This window comes from Homo sapiens, chromosome 11 (genome assembly GCF_000001405.40).
Source record: "Homo sapiens chromosome 11, GRCh38.p14 Primary Assembly".
Taxonomy (NCBI): domain Eukaryota; kingdom Metazoa; phylum Chordata; class Mammalia; order Primates; family Hominidae; genus Homo; species Homo sapiens.
Genome location: NC_000011.10, coordinates 133,731,546 through 133,752,420, shown reverse-complemented (window position 1 = coordinate 133,752,420; position 20,875 = coordinate 133,731,546). Strand labels below are relative to the sequence as shown.

Below are 20,875 nucleotides of genomic sequence, written 5' to 3'. Positions count from 1 at the left end.
AAGGAAAACACACAAAGACAAAAACGCTCTGCAACTAATTAATTATTTTGCCAATTTGAGAGAGAAGTGGGGAAAAAGCCCTTTAAAATCAAATAACAATAATTTTTAAAGGAAGCCAACTGACACATTTCCATAAAGCAAATATGTTGGACCTAGTTGGAGGCAGCAGGCTCATGAGAATGCTGAAACTTCTTCAAATTTGCATATATAGATTTTTAATAGAGGCTGATGGAAACAAATAAGCCAACACAAATAAGTATAATATTTTAATTGCATTTCTTCAGGGCTCTAACAATTTTTTTAAAATAAACATATATAAGACAAAGTCAGTGTTACTAAGTGGCAAAGATTCTGGTAGAACCAATTGGTTTTCTTGAACTACATGAGGAAAGAAGGTGCACGTGTAGTTTACTTACCTCTGAATTGCAGAAATGCTAAGGATATGGCTCGGGTGTCAGAGTCCTGTGTACAGAGAAAGTCACAGCTCCTCTTTGGTTCTGGAGCATTTTGTCACTAACTCAATTGCCTAGTTGCTCACTCACTAGCATAGTGAAGGCCACTTAGTAGGGAGTTTAATAAATACTTTTTAGTGGGAATCGTTTGCTAATATGTTGGCAGAATCATCTTACACATTTCATGGCTCAAAAAATACCAGAGATGGAAGGGGCCCAGAGAATTCAGTGATACCTACAGATGGAAAGTAATAAGGATATAAAATATCTATATTCTCCCTGGGAGATCCTGCCTCATCTCTTGTACTACAAACTGGCTTGGAGCCACCATAGTTGTACAATTGCCTCCAGGATCCTTTAGCTGTGGCTGGCCATTGAGTTTTTCTCCAGAAGTCACACTGAATAAAGAAATTCCTCCTCTCTTCACTCCTCTAGAGCTAACTAGAGCCACCCCTAGATTCAGAGGGATCTTTTCTTGTATTCTAGGTCAAACTATGGACCATTGGATTCTAAGGCCATATTGCTGGAAGGGACAATATGTTTTACTTTTTGTGTTTCACTGGAAGCCCAGTAGCTTTGAAGTAGCTCCAAAATCTTAGGCAAGTGAAGTCAAGCCCAGCTTGTTTCCCAGCCACCAGGTTCTTCCCTTCATTCCCAGCGAGGTGAGTTTGGTCCCCATGTGCAGGCGCAGCTATCTCCAAGAGCCAAATCTAATCCTGATCTAGGCTGGAGAGATGCTCAGGCCTGCTGATAAGGTGCTTGTGGTTTGACATGGAGCCATCTGGGTCTTTGTCTGGACTTTGTGTGTTACCTCCACTTCTAGGAGCAAGGTCTTTTTCTAGCTCTTGTAGTTTTCTCTCTGGCCCTTCTCTCTTTCCCAGATGGGAGTCTCAACTTTGCACCTAGGCAAGACATCAGTTGCTATGAGTCTGTTTCCTCCTTTGCAATGTGAGGATATTGCTGCTCCTTCATTGCACTATTGTGATTGCTGTCATTTAAGGTTAGTTGCCACGATAAAGAGCCTGGCATTGTCCAGAGGGAAGTGCTGAATGCACTGTGGAAATGATTTTTATCATTCCCTTGGCCCTTCTTAGGAGTGTGGCCCTACACCTTCCTGCCACTCTCCTCCCTGGAGCTGAGCTGGAACTCTGTTCCGGTTTCCAGTCTAAGTGTAGGGCCTTGATCTTACTGGATAAAGCTCCCTGATGCCTGTGATATTGCCTCTGTGGGCTCTCTAGTATTGCCAGCTCTGATTTCCCGAACATTGTGTAATTCAGCTTTCAAGCCTCCCTTAGGCTGAATGCAGTGGCTCACGCCTGTAATCCCAGCACTTTAGGAGGCTGAGGCGGGAGGATTTCTTGAGCCTAGAAGTTTGAGACCAGCTAGGGCAACATACCAAAAACAGACAAACAAGCAAAAAAACCCACCACCACCAACAACAAAACCACCAAAAAACTCTACAAAAAAAAAAAAAGTAGAAAATAAAAGAAGTGAAAAGTAGAAAAAAAAGTACTTCTAATTAATGGTGGGGAAAAAAAAAAAAGGAAAAAGAAAAAGAAAAAAAAAAGCCTTCCTGCCTCTGGTCTTCAATTCTTCCCTGTGACTGCTCGTCTGAACTTGGACTGATCTTGGCCTTTCCCTGGACACCTCTCCTGGGCCAGCTCCCTCCCCAAAGGCAGGCATGAGGGCCTCCCACTGCCCAGCTGGGAATGTGCTGCTTTGACTTCTCAAGATTCTCAAGGAAAGATAGTGGAAAAGCTCACAGACCCAAATTGCTTTAGTGATATTCACTATTATCCATGTCTACCCTTTTCCCTGTCCGGCCTGCACCCCTGAAGCCTCTCAAGCCTCAGAAGGGAGAAACATCTGTTTGCAAACCCCAACTCAGAACTACCACCCACTAAATAAAAACAAATTATGTGAAAATTGGGTGTGGTAAGAAAAGAAAGATGTGGAGACCCTCAAAGGTCATTGAAGCCTGCTGTCTGATTTCCTGGTAGTGTGAGCATGAAAATTCATGAGGCAGAGGCAGGGGGGAGGAGAGGGAGAAGAGGGAGGGATTAAGAGAAAGAATGAGAGAAGAAAAGAACAGTGTTCAAATTTTTTCCAATTGATTCTTTTATTCTTAAATGCAGGAAAAGTTGCTGAACCTTACTTTCCTCCCTTTACAAACGCAATTCTGGTATTTTTATATAGCATTTACACCACGGCATTTTCCATTTGTTCATCTGTTCCATATGTAGTTTGTGTTCCAGTTGTTTTCATATGTATATATTTTATCTTCCCAACTAGGTGCCAAGTACTGTCCTTTGTGTCCAATGAAGTGTTCAACAAATGCTTGGCAATTCAGTGTCCGGGTTCACAGCTCACCTCCCGCTTACCAGCTTTATCCTCTCTGACCCTCAGCGACTCCCTGTGTTTATCCTACTTCCCAAGTCCTATTTTCCCAACCTTCTTCTCTCGCTCCTTCATCACCTGAGGTCCTCAAGTCCTATTGTTTTTTAACATGTTTCATATCTGTTACATTCTTATTGTTTCTGCCTCTACCACCTTACCTCCAGCTTTCAATTCATACCTGGATTATTGCAACGGTCTCCTTGCTGTTCTCTATTCTGCTACTCTCCTACCACTGCCTGTTTAGTCTTCTTGAAAAGAAGTTGACTGTCTTACGGGCTCCTCTACCTAGAAGTGGTCCCTTGTTGCTCACCAGGTGAGTTCAGTCTGTCGCTGGTGTGGCTTTGCAGGAGGGTCTTCCCTGATGTCTGCGGCATGGCGTCTCCCACTTGCTGGGTATGTTCCCCGTCTTCTCTAGCTAGGTGGGGCTCCCTCTCCCCACAGCACACAGTGCTGTTCCCAGCCAGCCTGGGCTTGTGCTGCTGCCTTCCCTGCCCTGGCCTTTGTTGCTGTGGATTCCACCTCTCCACACTCAGGGCTCAGCGAATGCCCTTCCATCAAGAAGCCTAGTGCTGTGGTCTGCATGTGTGTATCCTCCTGAAATTCCTATGTTGAAATCTAATCACCCAAAATTTCTATGTTGAAGTCTAATCACCAATGTTAGGAGGTGGGGCCGTTGGGAGGTGATGAGGTCATGTGGGGCAGAGCCCTCATGAATGGATTTAGTGCCCTAACAAAAGGAATCCCAGAGAGCTGCTAGCCTCTTCTACCATGTGAGGATGTGTCAAGAAGGTGCTGTCTATGAACCAGGAATCTCGCCCTCATCAGGTGCTGAATCTGCTGGCAACTTGATTTTGGACTTCCCAGCCTCCAGAACTGTGATATAAATGTCTGTGGTTTGTGAACTACTACCCAGTTTATCATATTTTTTTGGAGCAGCTCACATGAACTAAAGATACCTGGTCAGTCATTCCAGGCCACGGAACCCTCTGATCTCTGGGATACATATTGTTCACGTTGGGATTTGATCATATATTTTCACATATAGGTGTTTGATTATTTCAGGTGTATCCTTATCATCCCAATGTAATTCTACAGCTTTTGTGAGCAGGGATCTAGCTGCACTGTCCAGCTCCCTTGCTGGGAGATATGTTAAGTGCTGGGCGCAGGGGCGAGTGAGCACGCAGCTTGAGCCACAGCTCATCTAGTGCCTAGATTTTGACCTCAGCAAGACTTAAAGTCAAGCTCTCCTCTGCTTCTTAGCAGCAAGTTACATACCTTTCAGACTCAGTTTCTTCAGCAGTAAAATTGGAGATATTTATATAACATGATTTTTACAAAGATTAAATAGATCATATGTATTATGTTCTGAGCATGGTGCTTGACACACAGAAGGTTAATAAATCATTTGCCTTCTGACAAATCATTTGTTCATTTCCCTTCTGATGACAACAGCTATTTTCATAGGTGGCTTCTACTATCAAATATTCCCTACTTACCATCTACACAGTATCATCTGATAAATAGAGAAGCACAGAAAATCACTGCTTCCCGTCTTTCACTTCTACTTAGAACAGGGAGCACAGTCCTCCAGGGCTGGTCCACATGGAGCATGAAATCTGCCCGTCAGCCATCTGTGGCATCCTGGAGGCCCCATTCAGGTTGCAGTGCGGTCGCTTGGAAGTGTGTCTGGCCTCCTCATTACTTTCTTGTCTGCTTGCTCACATAGCGAGTGCTGTGCACACAGTAGGGCCATCACTGACACCTCCAGGTTGACTGGAGGCTTGGCATTGTGGTGGACTGAAGCCACCCAGGGATCTGCGTGTGATGGGCTGGTGCAGACGTCGCCCAGCGGGAGAGGCCTGGGGGCTGCCCGCGTCTGTACAGCCGGAGCTGCTGCGCCATCTGTTTTTGCCTCTCCCTGCTGCTGCTTCCTCCTGTCTTCGCCCCATCCTGCCTGCCTCGCTGCTCTAGCTCCATCCCTGAGGCCTCCTTCAGCCCAGGTCCCTGCATGACGTGGATAGGGAGGGAAGGGGCTGATAGGAGAGTGTGGACACGTGTGTGTGGAAGGAGGGTAAGGAGTGTGTGGAGTAGGGAGAGTAAGTGAGAAATGGGAGGGAGAAAGGAAGCGAGGCAGAGAGGGTGGGAAAGGCAGGAGGGGAAAAGAGGGAGACAGAGATGGAATAAGGGGGGCTGGGTGAGAAGGATGGGGGTGGAGAAAGTCTGTGTATATGAGAGAGAAAAGAGAGAGGGAGAGAGAGGGAGAGAAAGGGAGGAGGGGGGGAGACAGAGGGAGAACTTTAACTGTACAAGCAAGAATCTGCCTCCAGCACTTGGAATTACAGGGCCAAGGCTGAGACTGAACCTGGGGTGCGGCAGGAGCTGCACTGATGATGAGTCTGAAATTCCCAGAGCCGCGGAGGAAGCGGAAGCGTCTGGGATGCAGTTATCTCTAGAAGCAGAGATGCATTTCCCTCTGAGTGCACAGGGCGTCTTCCTTTCTCGGCCCACATTGGGCACGTGGTTCTTTCTTCTTGAACAGGAGATGGGCAGATACCATCTGCATGCCGTTCTCTGCCATTTTGGAACGGGGGTGGAGGGATGTGCTGATGGAGTCTCCTCGGAGCAGGGTTACTTTTATGACAAAGGGCCCAGTCTATAAAGAACTGCCGCCCCCACCTTTTCCTGCAGAGCGTGTTCCTACAGCTGCTGTCTCTGCAACTCTGGCCGGCGCGGGGTGTGGGGGGTGGTCCTAAGAGGTGGAACCTTGCTCAGAGGTTTCCTGCCTGCTGCTTCTCCCTTGGGAAGGCTCTGTCCCTCTAAGATGGAGGAGCCGATTGGATGGCTGGGGCGGCACTTCACTGGCCTCCTCATGAGGCTCCTTGGGAGGCAGGTGCCTGCTCCTGCAAATTTCTAAAGCTGGACTGAAGCTGGGATCAGGGGAGCTGATGTCACTGAGAACTGCTTATCTTCCTCAGAGCTTTGAGGTTACTATTTCTCAACAGAGTTCTGTTTCCAGGAAACTCACTACTAATCTGAGGTGGGTTCTGACTGAGAAAGACTCTGTGATTCTATTAGGTTGGTGCAAAAGTAATTGTCGTTACTTTCAATGGCAAAACCTGCAATTACTTTTGCACCAACCTAATACGTCGATGAGCTAAGGATACACCTGGTGTGGTCTCCTGGGGAGAAGGGAGATGTGTGAGGTCACATTTGTATCTCTGCTAAACGTTGAGAAGAAGAAACTGAAGAGTAACAGGAAGGAACTAGAGTCCCAAGTGTGAGATGATGGCATGAGCACTGAGGACCAGGCTTCTAGATTTGGAGCTAAAAGCTACATTTAGCCACTGGGGTGTTCGATGGCCTGGCCAGTCCTCTGCTCCTGAACCTTCTGTAGTTGTCTGGGCTCACAGGGAAGTTTGCCCCATACCCCTTACTGTCAGTGCTAGAGACATTTGAATAATGAATTCTGTTTAAGACTGAAAACCTCGAAGTTCCATCTGTAACAAGACTCGAAATAATTACAGATGATGATTGCCTGGTACACTCAGCCAGAAAAAACAGAACAGCTTTTGGCCGCCAGCAATTACAAGCAGCACCGGCTTCAGCACAGACAGAACTTTTAAGTGAATACATGAATACATTGCTGAAGATCAGAAGGCAAGAAAGACTGTCAGAGCTGGGGTGGGGGTGGGGAAATGAGTTGGCAAAAAAGGAGTGACTTCACTACCATGGGGAGGAGAGAAAAGGAGGGGGAAGGGACAGGGAGAGTAAGAGAGATCTCCCCCAACTCTTTGCCCATTCAAATTTTTAACTATAAAATAGCAAAAAGATTGACATGGAGTAGCAACCCAGGAGTACTGTATTTTAAGGCTTTCTCCAATTTGAACCTTATCATGGGAGACAGTGAGATGAAGTGGCTTGTTTGTCATGGATATGGTTTGAAGTTATAGCTCTTGGTGCTTTTCTTCTTGTGTGATGTGGGGGAAATAATACAAGTTTTTGAATCAGAGACACCTGGAGTCAAATGTTCGTTTTGCTGCAAGTATTATCTTGTTTGGTCACTTAGCTATTCCAAACCTCCGTTTTCTCTTCTGTGAATCCCACCTTCAGGTGTTCTCATGGGGAATGACTAGGATAACGTCTATAAAGTGTCTTCCACTGCTGTCTGGAATAGAGAACGTCTTCAGCCAGTGTGGGTCTCCTCCTGTCTCTGAAGGGTCCTCTACCCCTTTCCCACTGGCTTTATCTCACATCTTCCATACTTTATTTCTTGCACTGGCTGAACCTATCCGATCTCACCCATTGATTTAGGAGAACCAGGGTATTCAAGACTCAAAAAATCTTGGCTATTCATTTGGTTAGGGACTTTAACAATTAAAGTGTAAAAAGTGTGAACCAAAATGGAGATGCTAGGGCAATTGTATTCTTGCCTGCTCCTGCCCTGGACTCCTCATTTTGTGCAGGTTGATTGTGATTTTCCTGCCTGATTCACACATCTGCTCTTGATTGCTAATTTCAACCCAGATTAGGAGTGGAAGCCTGAAACTCTTGGGACCTTAACAGCTAGTAGATGAGCCATCAAAGTCTTGGTAATCAGACCATTGGAGTGAGGATTTTCAACCCGATTTGAAGACTCTCTTATTTCCGGGCACTTCAGCTTCTCACCAGCTTCTGACTCAAGCTTCCCACTCCCATCTGGGGGTTCAGGCGGGTTTGAAAGGGTGCGTCCTGTCCTCATGAGGCTGGAGCCATCTGGGTGGGAGTTCACAGACCAGATTTTAACAGGAGAGAAGTTTGCAGACAGGCATTTAGAAGGAGCTAGCCTCTGTGCAAATCTTTTCTCCAATGGGCTCTAAGGAATTATCTCAGCTATACTTGGTCTGCAGAATTAGCACCAAGTGGACACTGCCCAAGTCCATGGTCTGTATCATCCAGAGTAGTGGCCAGAGCCGTGGCCGGGCCCACTCAAGCCATGGCTGGGGAGCCCCAGGAGCACTGTGCCAGAATGTGAGCGCAGACACTTGAGGAAACCCCAGGCAGCAAATGCTGATGTCTTGCAGATGTCTCTCTGGAGACTTTGCCCTTAAGGTCCTGGATGTGAAGGGAAGCCCCAGAGACCTCTGAAATGCCTTTGGGGTGTTTCTCCCAGTGTCTTGATAATAACTTTTGCTTCTTTCTGTCTGTAGTAATCTCTTTTTGCAAACGGTCACTTGGCCATACCCTTGGTTTGCACTCCTAAAGATGCCTTTCACTCTTTACATGCCAGGGTATAAATTTTCCAAATCTTTCCTCTGTGTGTCTCTTTTAATTATAAATGTTATCTTTCAATCTTTTATTTCTCTTGAATATTACTATATATAGTTAAAAGTAGCCACAAAGCTCCTTCAATATTTTGCTTAGATATTTATTCTGCCAGATATCTTAGTTCATTGCTCTTAAATTCTTACTCCCAGGCTGGGTGCTCATGCCTGTAAGCCCAGTACTTTGGGAGGCCAAGGTGGGAGGATCACTTGAGCCCAGGAGTTCAAGACCAGCCTGAACAACATGGCAAAACCCCATCTCTACAAAAAATACAAAAAATTAGCTGGGCATGGTGGCATGCATCTGTAGTCCCAGCTACCTGGGAGGTTGAGGTGGGAGGATCACCTAAGCCCAGGAGGTCAAGGCTGCAGTGAGCTGTGATCGTGCCACTGTACTCCAGCCTGGTCAACAGAGCGAAAAATATCTGCCTTCCATAAAGCTCTGGGGCATGAACACAATTCAGCCAAGTTCTCTGCTAATTTATGAGAATGATGACCTTTCCTCCAGTTTCCAATACCTTGTTTTTCATTTCCATCTGAAACCTCATCAGAATGACTTTTACTGTCTATATTTTTACCAACATTCTGATCACAACCACATAAATAATCTTTAAGAAAATTTAGATTTTTCCTACAGCTATTCTCTTCCTCTGAGCCCTCACCAGAATCACCCTTAATGCTCTGTTTATAAAAATACATACTTTTTCTGGCATTCACTTCAAAACTTTTCTAGCTTCTACTCATTACCCAATTCCAAAACTGTTTCTACATTTTCAGGTATTTGTTATTGCAACACCCCGCTTCCAGTACCAATTTTCTATTGTAATGCATTTTGTGCTACTATACCAGAATACCACAGACTGGGTAATTTATAAAAAATATAATTTATTTTCTCACCATTCTGGAGGCTGGGAAGTTTAAGATATAGGTTCTGGTATCTGGTAAGGGCTTTTTTGCTATGCCATAATATGGCAGAAGGTATCACACAGGTGAGAGAGAGAAAGAAGGGGATGGAACTCATACTTTTATAATGAATCCACTCCTTCAATAACAGCATTCATTTATTTATGAGGGGAGAGCCTTCATGACTTAATCACCTCTTAAAAGTCTCATCTCTCAACATGGTTGCATTGAGGATTAAGTTTCTAACACATACATTTTTAGGGCCAGAGGCAGAATGCTATGGTTTGAATGTGTCCACTAAAGTTTATGTGTTGGAAAATTGATCCTCAGTGAAACAATATTGGGAGAATTTAAGGGGTGATTAGGTCATGAGGGCTCTGCTCTCATGAATGGATTAATGCCATTATTGAGGGAGTGGGTTTGTTATCAGCGTAGTGGGTTCGTAACAAAAATGTGAGTTCATCCCCCACCCCCCTCCCACTCTCTCTCTCCCACATGATGCCTTCCACCGTATTATGACACAGTGAGAAGGTCCTCACAGATGTCAGTGCTTTGATCTTGGACTTCCCAGCCTCCCGAACTGTTTTGTAGAAACAGTTTTTTACAAAAGTACTTTTTATAAATTACCCAGTCTGTGGTATTCTGTTATAGTGGCACAAAGTGCACTAAGACGAGGGGGTTGGTGGGCAGAATGACTCCAGTCCTATGAATGCTCACACTCTTTCTCGGAATTACTTAATATTGAGAGCTTGTTTTGTGGGTAGTGATGCATCCTCTTGATCACTCAGGCTCCTGTTAAGACCCCGCCTCCTCTCTAAAGCTTTTGTAAAGCTCCTTAGTCAAGGCTAATCTTGAGTAATTCTGTGTAAGAGTAAAGACATGACCTGAGTGCCAAGCACCCTGTTTATGCCTCTGGCTGATTAAACCCTTTTTAGATCAAGTTTGTGTATAAATACATAAATAAATCCTAATTATAACACTTTGTGATGCTAAACAATTTGCTTAATTTCTCTGAGCCTCTGATTTATTTTGCTTTGTTTTTAGAGATAGAGTTTCACTCTGTTGTCCAGGCTGGAGTGCAGTTGTGTGACTGTAGCTCACTATAGCCTTGACCTCCCAGGCTCAAGGGATCTTCCCACCTCAGCCTTCCAAGTAGCTGGGACTACAGGTGCATGCCGGCTAATTAAAAAAATTTTTTTTCGCAAAGATGGGGGTCTTTCCCCATCTTGCCCAGGCTTGTCTTGAACTCCCAAACTCAAGCAATCCTCATGTCTCAGCCTCCCAAAGTGTTGGGGTTATAAACGTGAGCCACTGTGTCTGGCATGAATTTTTGTATTAAAAAACTTATACTGTTTAAAAAGTCAGCTTGATGCCATCAGTATTTGTTCCCTTAATATCTACTACCTTGTGTTATTTATCTGTGTCTACCAACATATCCATTCTTTAGATAAACTTGAGGTTCTTTGAAGTTTGAAACTGTGTTATAGATATTCCACATTTATTGATTATTAAATAATCATTATTGAGCTTGTTTTGTGGCTACAAAAATGAATGATACATTATTGCTACACTTTAGGAACTTGGGTGGGGGGCAGAGAGAGAGACAGAGATGAGAGAGAGAGAAAGAGACTGTCTCTGAGAGACTGAGACTACTAAATAGAAAAAATTGGCTTCTATTTTTTCATGTTCCTATGACAGTATCTTCCATATGGTATGTGAATTTCTCAGTAAATACTTATGAATTGACTGATAAATAAGCCTAATTCCCTCATGGCAGCAAGTAATGTTATGAATTTTAAGTGGAATTAGTAACAAGTAGGGGATTTCTGGCTAAACTCAGGGGTGTGAACACATGGTTTTATCTTGGCTCCTCCCCCAAGGCCCACTAAAATGACAATAAAGGATAAAATAAAAAGAAATATCAATAAATACACAAAAATATTAAGAAAAGAGGGAACAGCATTTGAGAAATGACCATAAATATTAGGAGGTAGGAAACAGATGAAAGACAGGTAACTGCATTAAAATAGGCGAGCTAAAACCTAAGCTTATGTGTGTGCCTGTCTGTGCATGCGTGTGAGTGTGTGCGTAGGTGTGAATGTGCGTGCGTGCGTGTGTGTGTGTGTGTGAGTGATGAAGCGAGCAAAAAGCAAACTGAAACGTCTCTGGCCTTGCATTTGGCTGTACTAGCTACCCCTGTGGCTGAAGAGAGAAAGCTTGATTGCTAGAAAGCGCTAGACCCCAGATCGCCTCCCCAAGCCTGTGTAGCTGTGTGACTGTTCTGCCCCTACCCGGCAGAAACTGGGAGATCTGCACAGAGGAGGAGAGGAGAGCCATTGTTCTGAAAATAAAGAAGGCCTAAGGGAAAGTTTGTATATGAAAGAGTGACACTTCCAACCGTCTTTTCCTATCCTGCTCTCTAAACCTGGCAAGCAATCCTTCCATGTCGGAGGTTGTGTCACTTATTTGAAAAAACAGACTGACATTTAAAAAAAGATTTTTAGATACTGAGCATAGCCCAACCAAAATTAAATCCACTGGTTTTCCAATCTGTGGTGAAGCCCACCATTGATAAGCTTAGCAGGCAGCATGGGCTAGGCTATGCTACAGTAACAAACAAGCCATCAATGGTCCTGACTTGCACCAAAGAACATTTATTTCTCATTCGAGCTGCCTGCCATCACTGGTTTGCCGGACTTCTGCTCCAAGTATTCCTCATCCAGAGGCTTAAGTGAATGGAGCAGTCATTATCAGGCACATAGGCCAGCATCATGGCAGAAGGAAATAGTGTGTGATGGATTGCACAGTAATTGCCTAAGCAACTTTTGAATTTACTTATCAATTTTGTTGAAATTGCCAAATAAAAATTGCATTTATTTATGGTGTCCGACATGATGTTTTGAAATATATACACATTGTGGAATGGCTGAAGATAGCTAATTAATATGTCCATTCCCTCTTAAACTTATTTTTTTTGTGGTGAGAACACAAAATCTACTCTTGGTGATTTTCAAGTATACAATACGTTGTGATTATCCATAGTTACCAACAGTACAATAGGCCTCTTGAATTTATTCCTCCTAACTAAAGTTTGTATCCTTTGACCAACACCTCTCCACTTCCCCCTCTCCCCCATCGCTGGTAACCACCATCCTACTCTCTGCTTCTATGAGTTCAACTTTTTTAGATTCCACATATGAGTGAGATCATGCAGTATTTGTTTTTCTGTGCCTGGCTTATTTTGCTTGACATAATGTCCTCCAAGTTTATCCATGTTGTCACAAATGACAGGATCTCTCTTTTTTTTTAAGGCTAAATAATACTCCATTGTGTTTATATGCCACATGTCTTTATCCATTCATATGCAATGGACACTCAGGTTGTTCCCATATTATCTTGGCAATTGTGAACAGTGCTGCAATGAGCATGGGAGGGCAGATATCTCTTTGACACACTGATTTCATTTCCTTTGGATATATACCCAGAAGTGGGATTGCTGGATCATATGGTAGTTCTATTTTTAATTTTCTGAGGAACCTCCATCCTGTTTTCCATAATGACTGTACTAATTTACATCCCCAACAACAGTGTTTGCACTGATTCTTACAGTTCCCCATGGAAGTGACATATATCATTCCCACCCACTTCTCATTGGCCAAAGCAAGTCATATGGCCATGACTAACTTTGAAGGTGGTAAGGGAGTGAAAATTCACCATGTGCCTGGAAGGAGAAAAACTGAGATATTTGTGAACTTGGACAACAGTCTTCCCATCTGGTCACCAAATATTCTGTTTACCCTCCTTTCCACATGCAAAGTATGCTTATCTCTTCCTGAGGTGGATTACTCTACTGTCTCATCTAGTTGGCATCAAACTCAACTTCTGGAGTTACATGATACCAATTTTTAGGTCGACCTGTGGCTGCTAGCAATCTGGTGATCTAAGAACACAAACCCTCCACACACACACCCCCCACACACATACACAAACACACGCCCCCCCACACGTACACACCCACCCACACCCACACTCACATACACACACACACACCCCCATCCCCCATGTACACACACCCCCACCCACATGCACACACACCCACAACCACACACAACCACACACACCCATATACACACCTACACACACCCACACACACCCACACACCCACATACACACACCCACACACCCCCACACCCCCCCATACACACCCACACACATATACCCACACACCCCCCAAACACCCACATACACACCCCCCACACCCACACCCACACCCACCCACATACACACACCCACACACACACCTATACCCACATGCACACCCACATACACACCCACATACACACACCCCACACACACCCACATACACACACCCACATACACACCCCCACCCACACACACCCCCATACACACACCCCCACCCACACACACCCACATATACACACCCACACACCCACATACACACACCCACACACCCACATACACCCCCCACATATACACACACCCACATACACACGTACCCACACCCACATTACACCCACACACACCCACACACACCCACATACATACACCCCCACATACACACACCCACATACACACCCACACCCACATGCACCCACATACACACACCCACACACACCCACATACACACACCCTCACACTCACCCACACCCCCCACATGTCCCCACATACACACACCCACATACACACACACCCACATACACACACACACCCCCACATACACACACACACAGAAGCAAAAAGCCAACTAACAAAATAGGCAAGTGATTTCCTCCCTCCACATCCCTAATACACGATCATGAAAGAAGGAGAGAACAACTCGGAAAACTTCTTGTTCAGAAAGGCACGGGAAGGGAGTCCCGCGGCAGCGAGTGGTGAGTTTCACAGGGCAGCCACATTTAGGGCCCCCTGGTCCAAGAGAGGAAAATGTCCTTCAGTTGAGCCTTGACACCTTTTCCTGAACCTGTTTCCTTGTCTGATGTTTTCTGTGGTCCCTTGGTCCGCCTTTTCCCATGTTCTCTCGTTCCCATTATCCTCCTTTCCTCATCTGAGGTGACGCTGGGAAACACGCCTTCCTTTGGAACTGAGCACACTCTCTAGCCCACCTCCTGTCCCTAGATGTTGGGAGCCCAGTGGTCATTTTAAGTTTTAAAGAATCACAGTCCAGGTGGATAGTTTATTTCAACACGAACCTCTCAAAAATGTAATTAACTTATTATCTATTTGATGGTAGTCAGTCCCATAGCTACATGCAGTTCTTCTATAGAAAAACTTCTTAAATTTGATATATATATATGTATATATACACACACACACATTTACTTTTCTGCTTCTGAGACTCTTCCCCTCTTTTTTTAAAATATGTATTTGTATTATCCTTTAAGTTCTAGGGTACATGTGCACAACATGCAGGTTTGTTACATACGTATACATGTGCCATGTTGGTGTGCTGTACCCATTAACTCGTCATTTACATTAGGTATATTTCCTAACGCTATGCCTCCCCGCTCCCCTACCCCACAACAGGTGTGTGATGTTCCCCTTCCTGCATCCAAGTGTTCTCATTGTTCAATTCCCATCTATGAGTGAGAACATGCGGTGTTTGGTTTTTTGTCCTTGCTATAGTTTGCTGAGAATGATGGTTTCCAGCTTCACCCATGTCCCTACAAAGGACATGAACTCATCATTTTTTATGGCTGCATAGTATTCCATGGTGTATATGTGTCACATTTTTTCAATCTAGTCTATCATTGTTGGACATTTGGGTTGGTTCCAAGTCTTTGCTATTGTGAATAGTGCCGCAATAAACATACGTGTTCATGTGTCTTTGTAGCAGCATGATTTATAATCCTTTGGGTCTATACCCTGTAATGGGATGGCTGGCCTCTTCCCCTCTTAATTTAATTATGGGTACCTTGGAAAAACCCAATCAGGCTTTGGTGGGACAGCCACCCCTTCTACCTCTTCCCTGAAACATTTTTTCATTTGAAGGAATTTTCTGGATGACATGTCTGTTTGTTTTTTTAAATGGACATCTTAGTCTATTTAGAAATTTCAGTATTGGGTATGATGGCCGTACTTTTGTGATTCTTAAAGATCAATTTATAATCATCCTGTAATTTTTTTTCCTCTTAGGGCTTTCTCAGTTTTTTCTATTACTATGTAGCTTTGAGAGGTAGATGATTTTTCCAGCCATGAAAATAACCAAATTATTGATCTCCATTCCTTTGCATCCCTGCTTGGATCCCTGCAAATTCTTTTCTAAGCTCATCATGATCTTTTGCATTTGGCTTTATGTCAAATGCAACTATCGTGAACAAAAGCACACTTCTCATACTCTGGTTTTCTAGACCTACAAGTTTATTTGGGTTTTGTATTAGTTAGGGTTCTCCAGAGGAACAGAAACCACATTTATTTATTTATTTAATTTATTTACTTTTACGAGTTGATTCACACAATTATGGAGGCTGAGAAGCCCAGATACAGGAGAGCTGAAGTTACAGATCCAGCCCAAATTCAGGCCTGGGAAGCAGGAGAGCTGGTGATGTAAATTCCAGTCCATGTTTAAGTCTGAAGGCTGGAGAAGACTAATGTCAAACCCAGCCAGGCAGAGAAAAAGAATTCTTTCTTAGTCAGCACCTGATTCTATTTCAGATTGGATGAAGCCACCCATAGTGGGGAGGGCCATCTACTTTACTCAGTCTAGAGATTCAGATGTTCATCTCATCTGTTGACACTTTCCCAGATACACCCAGAATAATGTTTAGCCAAAAATCTGGGTACCTCATGGCCTAGTAAAGTTGACACATAATATTAACTGTCACATATATTTGTTTCCAAAGGTAAGAGTTTGTATATTTGTCTCCTCCTAATCTCATCGAAATGTGGTCCCCAAAGTTAGAGATGGGGCCTGATGGGAGGTGTTTGGGTCATGGGAGTGACTCCCTTGTGAATGGCTTGGTACCGTCCCTGTGGTGATGAGTGAGTTCTTGCTCCATTAGTTTATGTGAGAGCTCATTGTTTAAAAGAGTGTAGTACCCCACCTCTCTCTCTCTGCTTTTCCCTCACTCTGCTTCCTGTACAGGCTGCAGAACTGTGAGCCAAATAAACCTCTTTTCTTTACAAATTATCCAGCCTCAGTTATTCCTTTATAGCTACACAAAACACAAGGTGTCTTCAGTGAAAGTTTAACCAAATGTTCCCCATTGCCTAACGTGAATCGCCATTGTGCTAGCCCCTGGTAGGTTTTCTTATTGCTCACTGCCAGACCATGGAGCCAGTGCCACATATTTCAGATGTTTGACGTGGCACTTCTGTGTATGAGTTTCTCTATCCTTCAGTATTGTATACGTTGTGCTATAGTGACAAACAATTCTAAAATCTCAGTGACTTATAGTAACAGAGGTTTATTTCTCACTCATATCAACTGTCCCTTTCTTCTCTAAGTCATTTTTGCATCAAGACAAAAACTGATGTAGTTCCCATCTGGAGGTCTGCTACTGCCACCACAGAGTAATAGAGAACCTACATCCCTTCTGCTCACATGACACTGGTCAGAAGGAGTCATATGGCTGCAACTAACTTTGGTTGCCATGAATCCTATCATGTGCCTGGAAGGAGGAGAACCAAAACACGTGTGCACAGCCCGGATGATCCCCATGCAATCTAGATCATGCACACAAAGCTTCTCATCAGCTTTTTAGTGGCTTTCTCCTAAATGTGAATGGAGATCCAAGCATCATCAGTGCTACGGCTCAAATATGTCCACCAAAAGGCATGTGTGTGAAAATCCCCAGTGCAACAGTATTAGGAGATGGGGTCTAATGAGAGTAACTAGGTCATGAGAGCTCTGCTCTCATAAATGTATTAGTGCTATTATCGTGGGAGTGAGTTTGTTATTGCAGGAGTGGGTTCCTTATAAAAGGATGAGTTTGACTCTGTTTTGTCTCTCTCTCATGCACTGTCTTCCTTTTCTGCCTTTCCTCATGGGATGATATAGCAAGAAAGCCCTTGCCAGATGCCGCCCCCATGATCTCACATTTCCTAGCTTGCAGAACCAAGAGCTAAATAAATTTCTGTTTATTATGAACTATCTAGTCTGTAGTATTCTGTTATAGCAGCACAGAACAGACAAGACAGCCTGATACTTGATGAAAGCCCTAATACGAAAACCAGAGACCAACACAAACCAAAGTTTACAAAAGGAATGAGAGAATACAGACAATGCAGGAAACAGAAGAAAACTTATAAAACAATCCTCTGATTGGTCTCAGAATGAAATATTGCATTCCTGAAAGAAGAACAGAATGCTATGAAAGGGAACAAGCAAAAGATAAGGAACAGCTCTTAACCATTGACCACATGAAAAAAGAAATTTTAAAATTTACTGGAGAATTTGAAGAAAAAGTTGATAAAGCAGAACAAAACATCCAGTTGGTTAGACACAGAAGGAAAAATATGTGAATCAATCAAGAAAGCTCATCCGTCAATTAATAAGAGTTACAAAGAAAGAAGATAAGTCAAACAAAGAGAAGATACCATCCAAAGGAATATTTTCAGAAATATTGCAGAACTGAAGGCGGTTGTATTCCGTGTTGGAGGGACTGAACAAGTGCTCAATACAATGAAATCAAAGAGATCTACCCCAAGGCCCATGCCTGTCAACGTTCAGGATGCTGGTAAGTAGAAGTGCCTAAAAACGTCTCTGCAGTTGTGGCAGACGTGGTGACAAAGTGCTGGGGTTCAGAATGGTATTCCAGCAGCAATTTGGAAGCCAGAACAATATCAGAAGCTAAAGACCTGGGGTCCCGGAAACTACAGGATAGAGGTGAAAGAAATTTCCAGGAAGAAAGTGGACAAGGATTTCAGCCATGCAGCAGGCCTGGAAAGCCAGCAGCCCTACTTGGACCACAAGAATGGGGGCTTCCAGGGCAGAGAGTGGCTGCTTCTGGAAAGTGAAAATTAGCAAGAAGGAGCAGTGAGTAGGGCAGAGAGCTGCCTATTGACACCACTGGCCTTTGTGTCTTTTTAAACGATGCGTGTATTTTATTTAGTTAAAGAAAACCCCCAATTTAAAAGTGTTTCTATGTGGCAGTGAATTATAAATTTAAAAAAAAAACCACAAGATTGATTTCTGATTACTGACTGTGTGATCTTGATCAAGTCATTCCACCTCTCCTGTAAATAATTTCTTGTTTCTTCATTTGCAAAATAAGGCAATACACTTAGAAGCCTTCATAGGGTCTTTCTGACCCTTACCTTCTAGAATTCTAAAGGGCACCAGTGCACAGTCACCTTAAACAGAATGGTCTCAGATTCTCGAATCACCCAGAGTCACCCTCCTCTCTGAGGCTGATGTGCTTTTGCGTGCACCTGATTCCATTTCCTTTCAAAGAACAGATCAGGACCAAGGGTGAGCACCTGAAAGCTAGGGCCCAGTCCTAATGCATGTTGCATGAGAAGGTGGCTGGTGCGTGTGGTTTATTTAGATGCTTTTATTTCTGTGTCACAGGGACCCCTCAGAGGCTCCCCGCTGCGTAATGGGGCTGGCTAGAAGCTGATCTGGCAGCTCGTTAACACTCAATTAAAGCTCTTCTCTACAGTATGGCATTAACTTTTTAAAAATTTATACATGCAATTGAAGGAATTAAAGTGCAACTGTGGTTTTCAAAGCGGTTTATGTGAGGGAGGCTGTGAAATTGTTCTCATCTGTCCAGTCTTCAGTTTTCAAATTTATATGTGCAATTGAGTTGGAAATTAAAGTGCAGTTTTAAGGTGGGTGTGAGTGTCTTACATGGCACAACATTCACCATTTTAAATTTATAAATGTAATGAAAATGAGATGACTTTGGAATTAAAGAATATGTGAAAGAAAAAATACATGTTCTTTCTTGGGGATATGCTGCTTTTTCCCTTCCTATAATCTAAATTCTTGATGAGTATGTAGTCACCCACGTCTTAACTTCTGTAGAACAGTGAGCTAGGGTCTTCCATGCCAGAAGGGCAGAGAGATCCTCATCACATCTGACCCCACCCTTCATTGCCTCTCTTTCCCAGGTTGAAATCCAGGGTGTCTACATCCCACAGGATTATGGAGGGTGTATGCATTGTGCACTTGTCACTTAGAGACGCCTATGGTCTGAGAATGTTAATTTTCCTTCGTGTCGTCGTGGTAGAGACCCAGAGATGGCATTTCAAGTTCCAGGAGTTATGCATGAACTGGCTTTCTGGAATTAAAGGTACAAATGTTTGTGGGGCACCTCCTCTGACATTTCTAGAAAATTCTTTAAGTATTGCTTCCCCTCTGGTTTAGACTGGTTCTTTCGGCTCACTGTCCCGTCTAGCTGTCTGACTGGGACGTGTCTGATGCATCTAGAGAAGCTCATGGCTCTGGAAAATCCCAAGGTGGAGATGCAGCCTGTTTGTTCCAGGAGATGATGAGACTGGGAGGTGCAGCTGGGCATGCGCAGCTCCCGATGTCTCATCTTCCCTTTCACCGAGTCTCCTTCATGGCAGGGGCTTGTCTACATCCTCCCGTCATGCCCCCTTGTCCCTCCTTGTCTTCACCCTGGGCCATCATCCTGGAGCAGGGCTCAGAGCAGCAGGAGGGTGACTAGTGGCTTTCATGGGCAGCACTCTACTGAGTCCTGAGTCCTGGGCACTCTTGCTTCCTGAGGCCAGGCCCCAGCTGCCCTGCCTTGGGTCTTACCCTCTTCACTGTGCTGGACAAGGGGCAGGGGGATGGTGTCATCTCCTGTGTCTGTGACCTAAACCCCTTTATCGTTCCTCTTTATCATTTTCAGAAGTCTTTGATTCAAGACCCCTTTCTCCTTTCTTTCCCTCCTAATACATTTGCATGCTCATTGAGGCGAAAAATTACATGATTTCCAGATTGCACTGAGCCGTTTCAGACCTGGGCCCACTTAGCAAGGCCATCACTTCGCAATTAAGCTGCGACTCACCGTTCTTACTTAATGCTGCCACCGCTTTCAGAGTCCACGGACCTTGCTGCTCTGTCACCCCTAGGGTGCATGTTTGTCCCATCCAGAGCTGTCTACACAGCTTATACGCCCCACAGAAGGCAGGTCCACTGTGTAACTGCACAGTGAATCACAGTAAATGAATGACCAAAAGAATACGTGAGTGAATCAATTTATTGAAAAAAATTCTGTTTAAAAAGTTAGGCCTTAATCTTTGGCAAGAAAATCAGACTTGCTATTTAAAAAAGACAAAACAAACATGACGAAATTATTGACAGCTTTGTTTGCGCTGTGCCTCGTGTCAGCAATGATTTGCTCGGCCTTCCAAAGATACATAAATGAGAAAAGGCTTCACAGTGAGGAATTTAGAGTGAAGAGAAAAGATGAGTGAGAAAACAATAAAGCCCTCCATTTCCTTGAAAAAGAAGAAAAGCATTACAATTGATGGCTAAGAGAAATACACATAGAGACACCCATTAAAATAGCAGGGCTCACCTTGGGGCCCCCAGGCTCACATTGCTTGGCTGCATAATATTTGCCTTGGCGATTGAGACATATGGAGCCAAGTTTGCCGCCGACCTCTAGCAACTGGGTGGGGCCCTTTCATGTGGATTTCTAGTCTTCACTGGGCTTTATTATTTTCTCGTCTCTCTTTTCTCTTCACCTCCAGTTCCTCAACTATTTCAAAGTTCCAGCAAATCTTTTGTGACTTGAGGCACAAAGTAAATCAGTCAATGAGTTAGAAATTATTATGGGATTTACTCAGAGGATGAGAGGAACCACTTACTGTAAATCTTCCTAAATTGACCTACCTGAAGCAAGAGTC

At 44.0% G+C, this 20,875-nt stretch overlaps 1 annotated feature.

Annotated features, from left to right (window-relative positions):
• Positions 5,136-6,104: an enhancer, noted in NCBI's record as "H3K4me1 hESC enhancer chr11:133616212-133617180 (GRCh37/hg19 assembly coordinates)". NCBI's record gives its function as "activates a minimal SCP1, AML or CMV promoter by ChIP-STARR-seq in naive H9 embryonic stem cells {active_cell/tissue: H9 hESC(naive)}" and the evidence as "EXISTENCE:reporter gene assay evidence [ECO:0000049][PMID:30033119]".